This window comes from Homo sapiens, chromosome 15 (genome assembly GCF_000001405.40).
Source record: "Homo sapiens chromosome 15, GRCh38.p14 Primary Assembly".
NCBI lineage: Eukaryota > Metazoa > Chordata > Mammalia > Primates > Hominidae > Homo > Homo sapiens.
In genome coordinates, this window is record NC_000015.10 from 68,634,338 (window position 1) to 68,648,866 (window position 14,529).

The 14,529-nt window shown below is 50.4% G+C and overlaps 1 protein-coding gene across 5 annotated transcripts in view, besides 3 other annotated features; it reads left to right on the forward strand.

The window, feature by feature from the left end:
* CORO2B (coronin 2B) overlaps positions 1–14,529 on the forward strand; it is a 209,434-nt gene that overhangs the window by 115,965 nt on the left and 78,940 nt on the right. For 4 of the 5 annotated variants that reach the window (NM_001324014.1, NM_006091.5, NM_001190456.2 and 1 more), the window contains one exon: positions 10,823–11,023. In NM_001324014.1, coding sequence (NP_001310943.1) covers positions 10,823–11,023 — 201 coding nt within the window. Of the gene's footprint in view, positions 1–7,165; positions 7,253–10,822; positions 11,024–14,529 lie in introns of those variants that run through there. The other variant, NM_001324015.1, reaches the window with a different exon arrangement.
* Positions 6,333–6,844: an enhancer, noted in NCBI's record as "H3K27ac-H3K4me1 hESC enhancer chr15:68933009-68933520 (GRCh37/hg19 assembly coordinates)". NCBI's record gives its function as "activates a minimal SCP1, AML or CMV promoter by ChIP-STARR-seq in primed H9 embryonic stem cells {active_cell/tissue: H9 hESC(primed)}" and the evidence as "EXISTENCE:reporter gene assay evidence [ECO:0000049][PMID:30033119]".
* Positions 6,845–7,356: an enhancer, noted in NCBI's record as "H3K27ac-H3K4me1 hESC enhancer chr15:68933521-68934032 (GRCh37/hg19 assembly coordinates)". NCBI's record gives its function as "activates a minimal SCP1, AML or CMV promoter by ChIP-STARR-seq in primed H9 embryonic stem cells {active_cell/tissue: H9 hESC(primed)}" and the evidence as "EXISTENCE:reporter gene assay evidence [ECO:0000049][PMID:30033119]".
* Positions 7,590–8,107: an enhancer, noted in NCBI's record as "H3K27ac-H3K4me1 hESC enhancer chr15:68934266-68934783 (GRCh37/hg19 assembly coordinates)". NCBI's record gives its function as "activates a minimal SCP1, AML or CMV promoter by ChIP-STARR-seq in naive H9 embryonic stem cells {active_cell/tissue: H9 hESC(naive)}" and the evidence as "EXISTENCE:reporter gene assay evidence [ECO:0000049][PMID:30033119]".

The window sequence follows — 14,529 nt, forward strand, 5'->3', positions numbered from 1 at the left end:
GTTGTCAGGGGCAAACCCAAAGCACTTTTGAAGGTGCAGATTGACTGATAAAATAATCTTTGTTGAGCAGTCACAGTTAGCAAAGCATGTTCACACACAGTATTATTTCACTGGATCCTCATAACTATCCTAGGAAAAATATGAATTATATCCATTTTTCTGATGGAGGAACTGGGAGGTAAAGGGACAGATGCAAAGTCACAGAGCTGAAGTTTCAGAGGGCCCAGTGCTCCTTGCAATGCCACTCAGGGACCAAAGTCTGGTTCCGGGACCAATAGCTTCAGCATCACCTGGCAACGTGTTAGGGATGCAGATTCTCGGGCCCCACCCTCGACTTCCTGAATCAGAAACTGTGGGCCTCAGCAATCTATGTTTTCACAAGCCCACCGGGTAATTGTGATGCACCTGCAAGTTTGAGAAGCACTGAGCTGGAGAGTGATACCCAACTGAATCATCTATGTGAACCACCTGGACCACCACCGTGTTCAACCATAGATTCTCATTTGAGTCAAGGGTGGGGCCTGGGATTCTCCATTTCTAACCAGCTCCCAGGTAATGCCAGTGCTATTGGTCCACAGGCAGTCCATTGAACAGCAAAGATCCCAAACAGGAAGCACCTGGTGGGCTTGGTTAAAATGCACATTTCCTAGCTCATTCCCACAGTGTGTGATTCTGCAGGCTGGAAGTGGGGCCCGGGAGCCTGCATTTCCACAAACACTTCAGGTGATTCTGAGGCAGATGACCTGGGGCTCGCACTCCAAGGATCTGTTCCCCAGAGCTCGAGCTTGCAGACCATCCACCCTGGCCTCATTTTCAAAGGTTTTCCACCTTCACTCCTCTCCCCACTGGTCTTGAACCACCCATTTGATCCCCTGCCAGACTTTGGGCTAAGGGGGTGCAAGTTGGAGGCCATCTCTGAGCCAGCAGGGCCCTCAGTTCCTCAAAATAGGTCAGGAGTCTGGCACAGACCAGCCTCAGTGGCTGCAAATAGAAACCATCTGTTGGGCCTGTGTTTTGAGCTCCACCGCCCCTCTCTGCCTGGCCAGAGAAACACAGAACTCAGAAGCCCAGTGGAGCATGGATGCTTCCCTGAGTGGGTGCTATTCTGCCACCGCCTGCCCAGACAGACTCCCATGGGATCTGCCTGCAGGGGAGGGGTGGCAGCACCAGATTCTACCACCCCCAGGGCAGGAAGCTTGCAGTGTGGACCGGTCATCCAGAGACAAGTCACTCCTCCTCTCTGGGTCTATGAAATGAGAGGCTGGATTTAGTGGACCTGTGAGTCCCTTTCTGCTCTGACAGGATACGGTTCCTTGAAAGCCTTTTTGTGTCAGGACCACATGGAGGAAAAGTTGGGCCCAGAGGAGGCAGACATTTCATTTTCCTGGCTCTCTGTGCAGAGTGAATATTGTGGGATCTGGTCCTGCAAATAGGGGGATGGACAAGGTTTGTGATCTGGAGCTCCAACGGGACTCTTGTAGGCCTTGAGGCAAAGAGTTGGGTTGCTCTTCCTTGTCTCTGCCCTCCTATTCCTTCCCTCACTCGTATATTTATCAAGATGATGTTAAGCCCAGTGGTAAGCCTGGAAAAATAAGGAGGAATGAGGTGCAGTCCCTGCCCTCAACAGCAGCCAGGATAATTGAGGAGCAGACAAGTAAAGGAGAGACCTCGGTGACAGCTCTGAATCAGATCCCAGCTCCTCCACTTCAGTGACCTGGACAAACCCAGACGCATCTGGAAATGGGAATAATAATTGTACCTATTTCTCAGGGTTATTTTAAGGATGCAGGATATAATGAATGTAGAATGCTTAGCTCATCGTAAGCACTAAACACACGTTGGCTGCTGTTAGTGTGATGAGCCAGGAGCAAGGGGAGCACAGCATGGAATCTGGGGGCCTCAGAAGACTTCCCAGTGACCATCCTAGGGGAGGTAGGAAGCTGTCTTGAAGAGAATGAGGCAGAGGTGGCTACAGCCTTCTCCTTACATGTCCGGCCTTGTTCACCAGAGCAGGAAAGGCTGCAGGGATTCAGGGCAGAGGCCTGGTATAGAATAGACCGTGTCTCTGGCTGGGCTTGCATTGGGTGGTGGATGCATGCTGCGTATCCTCCCCTCTAGAGACTGTTGAGAAGGCGCCATCCCAGCCCTGCCTGTTCCCACTTGGCTTAGATCCACTCCCTGATAGCATGAGGGAGGCAGGACAGAGCTGGGTGGCGAGGAGGAATTCCAATTTCCTGGGTGAGAAAAATGAGGGGCTTGCCCAAGGGGCCCTGTGAGTTGGTAGGAGAACTGTCCTGGAACCCAAGAATTCCATGTTTGTCAGAGATGCAGAGAAAGACAGTGGAGTGACTCCAGATCATGGCCTTCCTAAGTCCCTGTACACCCCACCCAGGAACTTCCAGGTGTGGAGGTTTGGATTGATTCTTTTCTTCCAGGATTTAGGACTTTTAGTAGCTAACTGATGACTTTTAGGAGCTAATTGATGTCTTTTCTCCCAGTGCTGTCCAATGCAACACACTGCAGTGATGGAAATGCTCTGTAATCTCTGCTGTGCCATATGGTAGCCACTAGCCACATGTGCCTATTGAGCACTTGATATGTGGTTAGTCTAACTGAGGAGGAGTTTTCAATTTAATTTTAATTAATCTGAATTTAAGCAGCTGCATGTGGCTAGTAGCTACCATACAGGACAGTGCAGTTTTAGCCTACTCTAAGGTGCACAGGCAAGAGCAGATACTCCCAAATGTTGGTTCCACAGATACATGCCTTCACGACACACTCCTCACATGATTCTGATGCATAACCAAGTTTGGAAATGGTCAGGGCAGGGGTCTGAGAGACGCTATGCTGAGAGAAATGGCACAGTCCATGCACCTCCCATTGTCTGTTTGGCTTTCTCATTTTACAAAGGAGGACACTGAAGCCTGGAGTCCACTGGGAATTACTGCCCAGGCTGGCGAGCCCCTCGGGACTGTAGGCTGGTTCCCTCTGCTCCTCCAGTATGGAAACATGTGCTGTGTTCCTCCTGTGTGTCCACCTTTCCCGGGTGGAGGGGGAACAGATGATCAGCTCTCGCTCACGACCCAGAATGCTTTGGATGAGATGGAGCAGTTGATAACGGTGTCTTTCCTTCATGACAGTGCCATACTATTTTCTCTTGTGTTCTCATGTTCCATCCTCATACAGATTCCAGGACCCAGGTCAGTTGATACCCACATATCACAGAAGAGGACACTGAGCCTGGAGAAGGAAGGCGGCTTGTCCCAGGTCACATAGCTAGAGACCAAACTAGATGGAAAGTGCCAGTCTTTCTCTGACAGCACATGACCCAGGAGAGGCTCTGCCACATATCCTGATGGGCTGCCCCATGGGAGCTACCAGGGCAGATCTGAGAGTTCTCCTGGGCTCCCCCCACATTACACAGCTGTTTCCCAGGGGGCTTCCTCCCAGCCCTTTGATGTGAATGTAGCCACATTGCCCCCTCACCTGAGTCAGAAACTAAAAAAACTGCTCTCTTACATTTTCGTGTTCCACTTAAAAGCTAAATTTTGCTCATGTCATCATCTAGAAAATGCACCCGCTGGCCACAATAAATCATTTTTGAGATCCGAGGACAGGATACAATTTGCTTCCATGTGGAGTGTACATAGTGATTATCTCAGAGGGGAGAAAAAGCCATCCTACATTTCTTGAGAGGCTATAAGGGCCATTCAGCTGCAAAATGAATACTTTTTCCTTCCGGGCCCTCCCCATCTGGGAGGGAGACCAGGATGGCCCTGGGCCCAGGGAGAGGCTGCCAGGGAGCAGGCCCAGCAGCTGTGCACATCTGGAATCCAGAACCTCTCCCTCCCTCCTCCTGACCCTCAGCCCAGCCCAGCCCGCCCTGTCCTCCTCCTCCTGGCAAAGCCTGACCTCCTCAAGTAAACATTTGATTATTTGAAGTCAGAGACTCCCTCACAGGAGAAGGAGAGAGGGTAGAGCTAGTGTTGAGCAAGCACCCATCCTGGGCCAGACACTTTGCCAAGCAATTTGTGTTTGGTCACTTCATTGTATCCAGTGAGCTGGATGACATTATTCTCATTTTACAGTTAAGGAAACTGATATTCAGACAGGTTGAGTAGGTAGTCCAAAGTCGTACAACTAACAAGTAGCAGAGCCAAGATAGAAACCACTGGATTCTTTCTGACTCCTAAAACTCTTCCTGCTACAGTTTCTTTACACTTTTGTGTAGGGCCCTGTATTTATGGAGCTACTGGGGAGGGGTAAGAGTTGAGGTGGAGAGGCTGAAGGAGGAGAAGATATGTGTTGTATTGGAAAGAGCAGTAGACTAAGAGTCAGAAGTTCTTGGCTGAAGTCTTGGCTACACCATTTTGATAGCTTGTGACTTTGGACAAGTCTCTTTTAACTCCTCCATGAGCCACACAGACACTCTATGTTGTAAATGGGATTGTAGCACCTGCCTAGTTCTGCCCGCTGGACAGCAGCGGGGCTGACAGAGGTGGTGTCTGGAGAGGATCATGACTGCGGGTGGGCTTTTCAGGGTGGTTCTGCAGGCACTGGCCCCTTGCTGATTCTGTGCTGTCAACAGCAAGGGACTCACTAGGCCTCAGCCTGACAGCAGTACTGGGTTCAGAGGTGTTGGTATTCTGGTGATGAGGAGTCTAATGGAGACAGGGCTGCGTGACCAGAAGAAAGAACATGGTAGAGGAAGGGCTCATGAGGGAGGGTAAGGACCAGACCCTCATCCTGTGGGCAGGGCAGCACATCAGCCTGAAAATAAAATGCAAAACCTCAGCAGGCTGAAGTCACAGCCTTGGGGTGAGGTTCCTGAAGGAGGCACCTCCTTGTGCTTGACCTTGGCTCTTGCCCCCCTACCATACTGAGAGATGATTCAGCCAGAGTCACTATGAGGCTCAGCTATAAGGGAGCCCTGAACCCGGCATGGAGTGGGGTGGGGCTGTGCAGGGGCCAGAAGGAGTTGGATGATCTGGTAACTTACAAACCACTAACTGGAGAAAGAAAACATGCATATCTAAAGCTTGAAATAAGTGCCAAAAGCATTAATCAGCTCTGTGGGACACCCTAAAAGGAGGTGGCTATTGCCATGTAAGAGCTGTTGTCATTCAGGGTCACAGCAACCCAACTGGGGTAGGGGAATATAAAAGAGGAAGGCCCCCAGCCAGGGTGGCAGAACCAAGGTGGTAGACCCCAAAACTCCTCTCTGTTCCAACATGATGTCTTTAATAAAGTAGAGGAACTCTATTATCTCAGGGCTGGAAGGCAATCTAATTCCATTCACTGTTCCACATCGTCCTTAATCGGAGGTCATCCACCTAAATCTTGAACCCCCCCAGGGATGGGAAGCTGACTACCTATCAAGGTAGCTTCTTTTTCCAAGTTAGGCAGCTCTAACCATTAAGAAAGTCCTTTCTTTTACAGAGTTCAAAACCAATCTTGAAAACCAATCTCAAAACCAATATGTCCCAGTCTTGCGCCTTGTGCTCATTGGTCCTAAAAGATTCAAAGAGAGTGTGTTCTGCTCTCACTAGAATCAGTCAGGGGGAATCTACCAGGATCTGGGCAGGGCTTTAAGGGTAAAGGCAAAGGGCCAGATTTTCAGGTCACCTCTTGGCCGCCCCCACCGATTTCCCTTTGAGGTCTGGGCACCTCCCCCGGTTACAGCCTCGGCAAGGCCTCCTCTCTCTGGCAGAGTAGGGAGGAGTCTTTTCTGTTCCCTGCCTGCGCACCCATGCATCTGACCTCACAGTGAGGTCAGCTCCTTAGTAATGCAGGTCCTTCTGCAGACACCCAGCTTTGGCCCACAGTGTGTACTCGTGCCTGGCCTGGCCTTCCAGCCTCTGTCCATCACCTTCCAGAACAAACCCTTGGCACTGGCCAGGTGGCCTCCTCACTGCCAACAGCCAGACCAGGTGTGTGCTCACACATTCCCCCTGCCCTCTCCTCTCCTTTCGCATGCTTTACCAAAGCCAAGTAACTGATAATGGAGACATAGTAACCTGAATCAAATCAAGGCCTTAGACCTAACTCTTAAAGTTTACAAGGGATACAGGAACAACTTTGGCATTGCCCTGAAGCATCATGAGACAAATCATTGGAATGTTTTATAAGATGACTGACAACTGACCTGGTATCTTCCAAAAGGCAATGCTATTTAAAAAAAAAAAAAAGGTGATAGGAGTATTGTAGGTTAAAGAAGGCAAAAGAGAGATCACAACCAAATGCAACACATGAACCTAGGTTTCACTGAATCCTAGGTCAGAAACTAAAATAGCTGTAAAAGGCATTGGGGGGAAATTTAAACACGGGCTGGGCATTACATGGTACTGAGGAATGGTCAGTTTTCTCAGATGCGATGATGGTGATGTGCTAAGGAAATTGCCGTCCTTTGTAGGAAATGCATGCTGAAGTAATGAGGAGGCAGGAGTCATGATTTTTGCAAGTTCTTTTCCTGTAATTCCACAGAAGTAGAAAGAAAGAGAAGGGCTGGGGTAGAGGAGGAGGAGCAACTGGTGCTTGGAGCAGCAAAGTGTCTTTCCCAAGGTCAGTAGGAGTCTGAATGGGGAGCGGAGCCAGGACTGCAGACTCCCAGCTCAGGGTTCTGTGTGAAGACTTAGCATAGGTTCACGTGGAGTGGAGCTCCACGCCCAGGGTTGTGGAGCCATCGATCAACAGCAGCCCCTGACCTCCCTTCCCCTGGCCCTTTCAAAGGCCCAGCAGAGAGAATCTCCATGGAGATCCAGTCCCAGCCTACCAGCCACTGTGGAGAGGCCAGCCCAGGCTTGCTGAGAGACAGACACTCTCCATTCTTTCCAGGAAGCAGGCCTGCCTCATTCTAGGGCCTGCCCAGGCCCATCCCCGGGGAACACGCTGAGTGGGAGAACATGCCTGCTCACCCCGAGCCTGAGCGCTGTGGTCCCCCAGGATGCAGCATCCAGCTCAGAAGTGCTAGCTGGGCTGTGGGGGCAACAGGAGATGGATAAGGAGTCACTCAAGAGACCACAAGTGTGCCCACCAGAGCCTTCACCACAGATGCCTCCTTCCTGTGTCTACACCCTGAGGACTGGGGAGCTGGGGATTTGGGGGAGAGAGGAAAGAAGGGCAGAGAGTGGGAGGAAGCAGAAGGAGCAGGGAAAAGGAGAAGGGGGAGGGTGGACGAGGAAGAGGTGAAGTCAGATGGGAAAACAGGCACAGAAACTGCGGGCCGCTGAGCGCTCCACCTGGGGAACCTGGGGTAAGTGTGGACTTTGCCGGGTGGGCTCAGGAGAGCCTATCAGGTCAGCATGTCCTGTGCTGGGCATATGACAGGCAGCTTGGCACTGGCTCCTCCCAAGCCCTTGGAGGTGATGGGGATGATTAGCCACCTTTATTTTTTATTTATTTTTTTGAGACAGAGTTCGGCACTGTCGCCCAGGTGGTAGTGCAGTGGTGCGACTCAGCCCACTGCAACCTCCACCTCCCAGGCTCAAGCCATCCTCCCACCTCAGCCTCCCAAGTAGCTGAGACTATAGGTGTGTACCACTATGCCTGGCTAACTTTGTGTGTTTTTGGTATAGAGACAGGGTTCTGCCATGTTGCTCAGGCTAGTGTCTCCAATGCCTGGGTTCAAGCGATCTGTCCGCCTCAGCCTCCCGAGGTGCTGGGATTACAAGAGTGACTCACCTAACCCGGCCTAGCCTCTTTTTTTTTTTTTTTTTTTGAGACAGAGTCTCATTCTGTTGCCCAAGCTGGAGTGCAGTGGCGCGATCTCGGCTCACTGCAACCTCTGCCGTCTGGGTTCAAGCAATTCTCCTGCTTCAGCCTCCCGACCAGCTGGGATTACAGGTGCCTGCCACCATGCCTGCTATCCTCTTTAATATGGGAGTAGATGGAAGTGGCACAGAGAGGTTAAGTGATTTGCCCAAGTCACACAGCAGGGTTGGGATTTGAATCTAGGTGTGCGTGGCTTCCAGTCCGGTTCTTGTGACCCTTCCCCTTGTACCCCAGGGAGAGCCTGCGGTGACGTCTGCACTGGGAAGAGCAGAGAACTGGGCACTCAGTCTAGAAACAGGCCTTGTGCAGACCATCCCCGGTGCCCAGCCACGGGCTGTGCTGGGGTTGGAGACAGAACTTGCCATCCCTTTGGCTCCCTGAGCCTCAGGTTCTGGTGTCATCTGTCTCCCCACTAGGCTGGGCTCCCTTCATGGATAGGCTGGGCCTGCCACGAGGCCAGTTACCCAGCAGGTCTCCCCATGGCCTCCACGACTCACCTAGGCTGCCTGGGAAAAGTGCAAACTAGTCTTCAGTCTTTCAGAAGACCCTGGTATCACTTCCTGCCATCACAGAGCAGTGCCCCACCCCCAGGATGGAAGAGGCTAGGACAAGCTCTAGACTAGGAGCCCAGGGAGAGGCGCCGGCTGTCTGCGGATTCTGAGAAGGTCACTGTGGACTATGTAGATCAGAGTGAGTCAGGCCTTAAAGGCTGAGGGTTGGCTGCACAGAGAAGACATTCCAGGCTAGAATTGCACAGCAAGGAACAGGAGGTTGGAGTGACCAAGCTCAACACCTCCTTTCTCGTCTGTGGAAACTGTGGCATCGAGAATGTTCTGCATGGAAAAGACAGAGAAATACCTGGTGTTCTCACTTCAGATTAAACTTTTGCCAGGTCCACCAACCACCCATACTGTATTTTTCATACTGTATTTTTCTTTGAATTGATTCACTTTTTAAAACTTAGCCACATTAGCAGTAGTATCTGTGAAATCATGGATTTGGCATGCAAGTTATATTTTTTCTAAAGCAATTTAAAATAAACACATGACTGGCTAAAATTAACTTCATCTCTGTAACCATGTAAAGGACCACCTGGGACCCCACTTTGGGAATAGTTGGTGTCCTGATGAGGAGCCAGTGCTTGGGGAAGGGAGAGCCTTGCCTGCAGTCACATAGTCAGCTTGGGGAGGGGAGGGGAGAGGCTGGTCTGAGGTCACACAGCCTGGGGAGGAGAGGGGAAGGCCTTGCCTGAGGTCACACAGTCAGCCTGGGGAGGGGAAAGGGCAGTGACCCACCAGCCTCCCATCCAGTGCTCCTGCCTCTCCAGCATGACTTTATCCAGACAGTCTGGAGCAGAACTCAGCAGAGAGAGACAGCAAGTGGGACAGGGACACAGCATGGGCAAAGGCAGGGAAGTAGGGAGGAGCGGAGAGCAGGGAGACTGGCCCTGTGGGATGGAGGGCAACCTTGGGAAGTGGAGAAGAGGCAGTGGAGAGGCAGGGGTTGGGGCCCAGAGAGCTGGTGGAAGAGAATTTGCTTGAAGGTGAGGAATCTTCCCTGGGATTCTCCTTCTGGATTCTGAACTTCTTCCTTCAATAAAGAGGAGTTTGTGAATTAGCTCATGGCTTGATTTAAATCAAATGCAGGCCAGGCGGCACCGTGGCTCACACCTGTAATCCCAGCGCTTTGGGAGGCCGAGTCAGATGGATCACCTGAGGTCAGGAGTTCAAGACCAGCCTGGCCAACATGGTGAAATCTGTCTCTACTAAAAATGCAAAAATTAGCTGGGCGTGGTGGTGGGCCCCTGTAATCCCAGCTACTCAGGAGGCTGAGGTGGGAGAATCACTTGAACCTGGGAGACGGAGGTTCCAGTGAGCCGAGATCGCACCATTGCACTCCAGCCTGGGTGACAGCCCCATCTCAAAAACAAACAAACAAAAAGAAAAACCAACAACAAAAAAAACCAACTACAAAGTATATCAGTTACAACAGGCTAGGATATGCTGTAATAACAAATTAACTCCAAAATCTTAGCGGCTTATAACAAAAGTTTGTCACTCATGCAAAGTCCGCTATGGATTCTGTAAGTGTTCCAAGACAGCAACGCCTCATGTAGTGACTCAGCAATCCAGATTGCTTTAATCATGTGCTTTGTCATCACATGAGACTCTCCAGTTGTGATGGAAAAGTACTGATTCCTGGGTTCCATCCTCAAAATATTGGATTCAGTAGGTCTAGATTGGGACCCAGTAATCAGCATTTCTTATAAATGACATAGGAAGATCAGAGACTTCCCCAACCCCAGATGACTTTGATACAGGTGATCTGTGGGCCACATGCTGAGAAACCTTGCTCCAAAGGGTAATCTGGCATAGGAGGAGTCTTGGATTTCCAGTCAGGAGACCTATGTTCATGGCCCTACTTAGCTGTGTAGCCTTGGACAAGTCACTTAACCTCTCTGTGCCTGATGATATGATGATAATATCCAGGACTCAGAGATTTCTGAGGGTGTACCTGTGGATTAGAAACACTAGAGAATCCGAGGGGATGACAGTGGATGGGGGGTTGCCTTCTTGCACGTGGAGAGACATCTCCCCACCCCACTCCTGCTGTGGGCCCTGTCCTCAATCTTGGTAAACACTGGCCTCTGCTGTCCGCATCTCCCATGCTGAACCGAGCACAGTTCCAGATACTCAGGAGGGAGTCTGTATGTGTTCTTGCTTCGCTCTATCACATGATAGGTTCCTGGGTAGTAAAAGGACCCTACAACCTTTCTAGAAAGTGGGGTGGGCATGTGTACCAAAAGCTCCTATGCCAATCTTTGTTTTTGTAAGACTTTATTAAAAGATGAAACCCACTAGAACGGGCTGGGCATATGAGTGTGCCCTGAATTCTTGGATGCTTCTTCCTTTCCATCTCTTCCTGACAGGGGACCCAGGGCCTGCTCACCTGCTGCACCTCTGAGCCGCAGCTTCCCTCCCCCAAGAGCCCAGCCGAGGCCCTTCATGGCACAGGGCCCAGCCTGACCCTTGTCTCTCCTGGCCCCTCACAGATGTCCTGGCGTCCGCAATACCGTAGCTCCAAGTTCCGGAATGTCTACGGGAAGGTGGCCAACCGGGAGCACTGCTTCGATGGGATCCCCATCACCAAGAATGTGCACGACAACCACTTCTGTGCCGTCAACACCCGCTTCCTGGCCATCGTCACCGAGAGCGCAGGGGGCGGCTCCTTCCTCGTCATCCCCCTGGAGCAGGTAGGTGGCCCCTACCTTCACTCCAGCTGCAGCTCCAGGGCAGAGAGGAGCCCTCCTTGGTCTCTCTTAGGCCTGTTGACCCTACTTCTCTCTGAGTTCCCACCTTTTACTTCCTCATCAAGCATCTAGTGGCTATGCCTTCTTTAGGGTTTTCCTGAGATTCAACAGAACAAGTGCAGGACCTGGATCCAGGAGACCTGAGATCTCTTTCCAGAGCTTGCCTAAAGGTATGCACTTGGACAAGCCACTCCCTTGGTGTACACAAGGTTCCATTCCCTGAGGGAGTGGAACACTCTGATCTCCAAGACCAAGTCTAGCTCTACCACTCTGTGTCCTGAGTGTCCTCTTGGTTTGGAGCCGGAAGGGATGAAGACCTAGCCATAGGTATTATACATTGAGCATCTGCAAAAATTATACAATTTTTTTTTTTTGAGATGGAGTCTTGCTCTGTCGTCCAGGCTGAAGTTCAATGGCGCGATCTCGGCTCACTGCAACCTCTGCCTCCCAGGTTCAAGCGATTCTCCTGCCTCAGCCTCCCGAGAAGCTGGGATTGCAGGCACGTGCCACCACGCCCAGCTAATTTTTGTATTTTCAGTAGAGATGGGGTTTCACCATGTTGGTCAGGCTGGTCTCGAAATCCTGACCTCAGGTGATCTGCCCACCTTGGCCTCCCAAAGTGCTGGGATTACAGGCATGAGCCACTGCACCTGGCCCACTCATTTTTTTTTTAATTGCTCTCTACTGAGAGACTGGAAATAATTTACCTTCTTCCCCATCCCCCACCTCCTATCTAAAGATTTTCCCCTTTCTGCAGCTGCTTACGTGAATATAACAGATTAAATCTGAAAAACCTAGATCATGAAATTTTTAAGCCATAGCCACTCAGGCGGAGTCCCCAGAGGCCCGTGGGAGGTCACGCGCTTCAGGGAAAGTGCTTGCTGTCAGTCCCACTTGTTTATGGCTGAGTTCCCCCTTCCCAGCCTGACTCATCCCCACTCCCACCCTCCGCCAAATCGCTCAGGGGGAGGAAGAGGTGCATGTGGAAGGAAGCCTTGGTTCTCAAAATTCACTGTCAGCTGGTGGTGGAGGATGGATTTTTCCAGTCTCTCCTACCCACAGTGGGGGAGCACAGATTTGGAAAAGGCTTAGACCAGATCTTCCTCTCCATCAGAGGGGCAGCTGCAGGGACACTGAGGACAGAGCCTGATGCACAGAGAGGTCCAAGGAGCATGCACTTGATGGCGGGAGGTCTGGGTTCTGCCCTTGCCAGACTTGGGACCGTGTGCATGTCACTTCACCTCTCTGACCCTTATTTTCCTGTAATGGTAAAAGCAGGATCAGAAATCCTCCTCTGCCTACATCTGTCATGTTGGCCTTAAGTGAGATAATAGATGTGAAGCTCCTAGTGAACCACACAACATGTTAAGGATGTTTGGTTACTTTTTTGGGGAAGTTATCCACTATGCTGGTCAACTTGGCAAAGGCTCACAGCAGCTCTAACACATTCGGAAGGATCCTCAAATGCAGCTTCCCTTCCCTCCTGAATCAGATGGCCTCCGATCACTGTTGCCTCAGGGACGCACTCAGCTCCATCCATCCAGGCCTGCAGGTCCCCAGGAACATGTGGGCTGGTTCTTACTGAGGCTCAAACCTATCGCCGGCACCCTGCCATGCTCCACTTTAGGCTCACAAGGGTCAACAAGCAATACCTCACATCATGACAAAAATTAATTCCAGATGCATTAAAGATCTAAACATTTAAAATAAGAAAAGCTACATGTGTATTAGAGGAAAATGGAGTGCATGTTTAAAATCATGCAATGAAGAAAGGCTTCCTAAGAAAGCCAGGAATCCCCCAAATCATAAAGGAAATGAATAGGTTAGAATAAATTTTTAAAAGACAGTTTCTGTATTACAATGAGGCACCTAAACAAAATGAAAACTCAAGCCACATACTTGACTACAATATTTGCAATATATAATAGACAAAGTATTCCTGTGAAGAATATATAAAGAGTTCCAGAAAAATTAACAAGAAAAAGAACCCGACCGGACACGGTGGCTCACGTCTGTAATCCTAGCACTTTGGGAGGCCAAGGCAGGCAGATCACCTGAGGTCGAGAGTTTGAGGCTAGCCTGACCAACATGGAGAAACTCCGTCTCTACTAAAAATACAAAATTAGCCAGGCGTGGTGGCACATGCCTGTAATTCCGGCTGCTCTGGAGGCTGAGGCAGGGGAATCGCTTGAACCTGGGAGGCGGGGGTTGTGGTGAGCTGAAATTGTGCCATTGCACTCCAGCCTGGGCAACAAGATCGAAACTCCATCTCAAAAAAAAAAAAAGAAAGAAAGAAAGAAGGGACTGGGGCCAGGTGCCGTGGCTCACGCCTGTAATCCCAACACTTTGGGAGGCCAAGGCAGGAAGATCACTTAACCCCAGGAGTTTGAGACCAGTCTGGGCAACATAGTGAGGCCCTGAGACCCTGTTTCTACAAATTAAAAAAAAAAAAAAGAAAAAAATTAGCCGAGCATGATGGCTTGCCCTGAAGTCCCAGCTACTTGGGAGGCTGAGGTGGGAGCATTGCTTGAACCCAGGAATTGGAGGCTGCAGTGAGCTATGATCACTCCCCTGCACTCCACCCTGGGCAACGGAGAAAGATCCTGTCTCTCAAAAAAAAAAAAAAAAAAAGAGTCTGGGCATGGTGGCTCACGCCTATAATCCCAGCACTTTGGGAGGCCGAGGTGGGTGGATCACCTGAGTTTAGGAGTTTGAAACCAGCCTGACCAATATGGTGAAACCCCGCCTCTACTAAAAATACAAAAATTAGCTGGGCATGATGGCATGTGCCTGTAGTCCCAGCTACTTGGGAGGCTGAGACAGGAGAATTGCTTGAACCCGGGAGGCAGAGGTTGCAGTGGGCGAGATTGCGCTACTGCACTCCAGCCTGGGTGACAGAACAAGATTCCAGCTAAAAAAAAAAAAAAAACGAAAGAAAGAAACAAAAGGCCGGGTGCAGTGGCTCACGCCTGTAATCCCAGCACTTTGGGAGGCAGAGGCGGGTGGATCACAAGGTCAGGAGATCAAGACCATCCTGGCTAACATGGTGAAACCCTATCTCTACTAAAAATACAAAAACAAAATTAGCCAGGTCTGGTGGCGGGCGCCTGTAGTCCCAGCTACTTGGGAGGCTGAGGTGGGAGAATGGTGTGAACCCAGGAGGTGGAGCTTGCAGTGAGCCAAGATTGCGCCAGTGCACTCCAGCCTGGGCCACAGAGCGAGACTCCGTCTCAAAAAAAAGAAAGAGAGAGAAAGAGAGAGAGAAAGGAAGAAAGGCAAAAGATATGAATAAGCAATTCACAGAAGGCAAAATATATATTTTAACCTACTAATTGGAAAAGATTTAAAAGAGTAATAATCATCAGTATTGCCAAAGGTGTGAGAGAGCAGGTGCTCAAATACACTCTTCGTAAGACGTAAATGAGGCAAGTTGGCAATTTCTACTAATA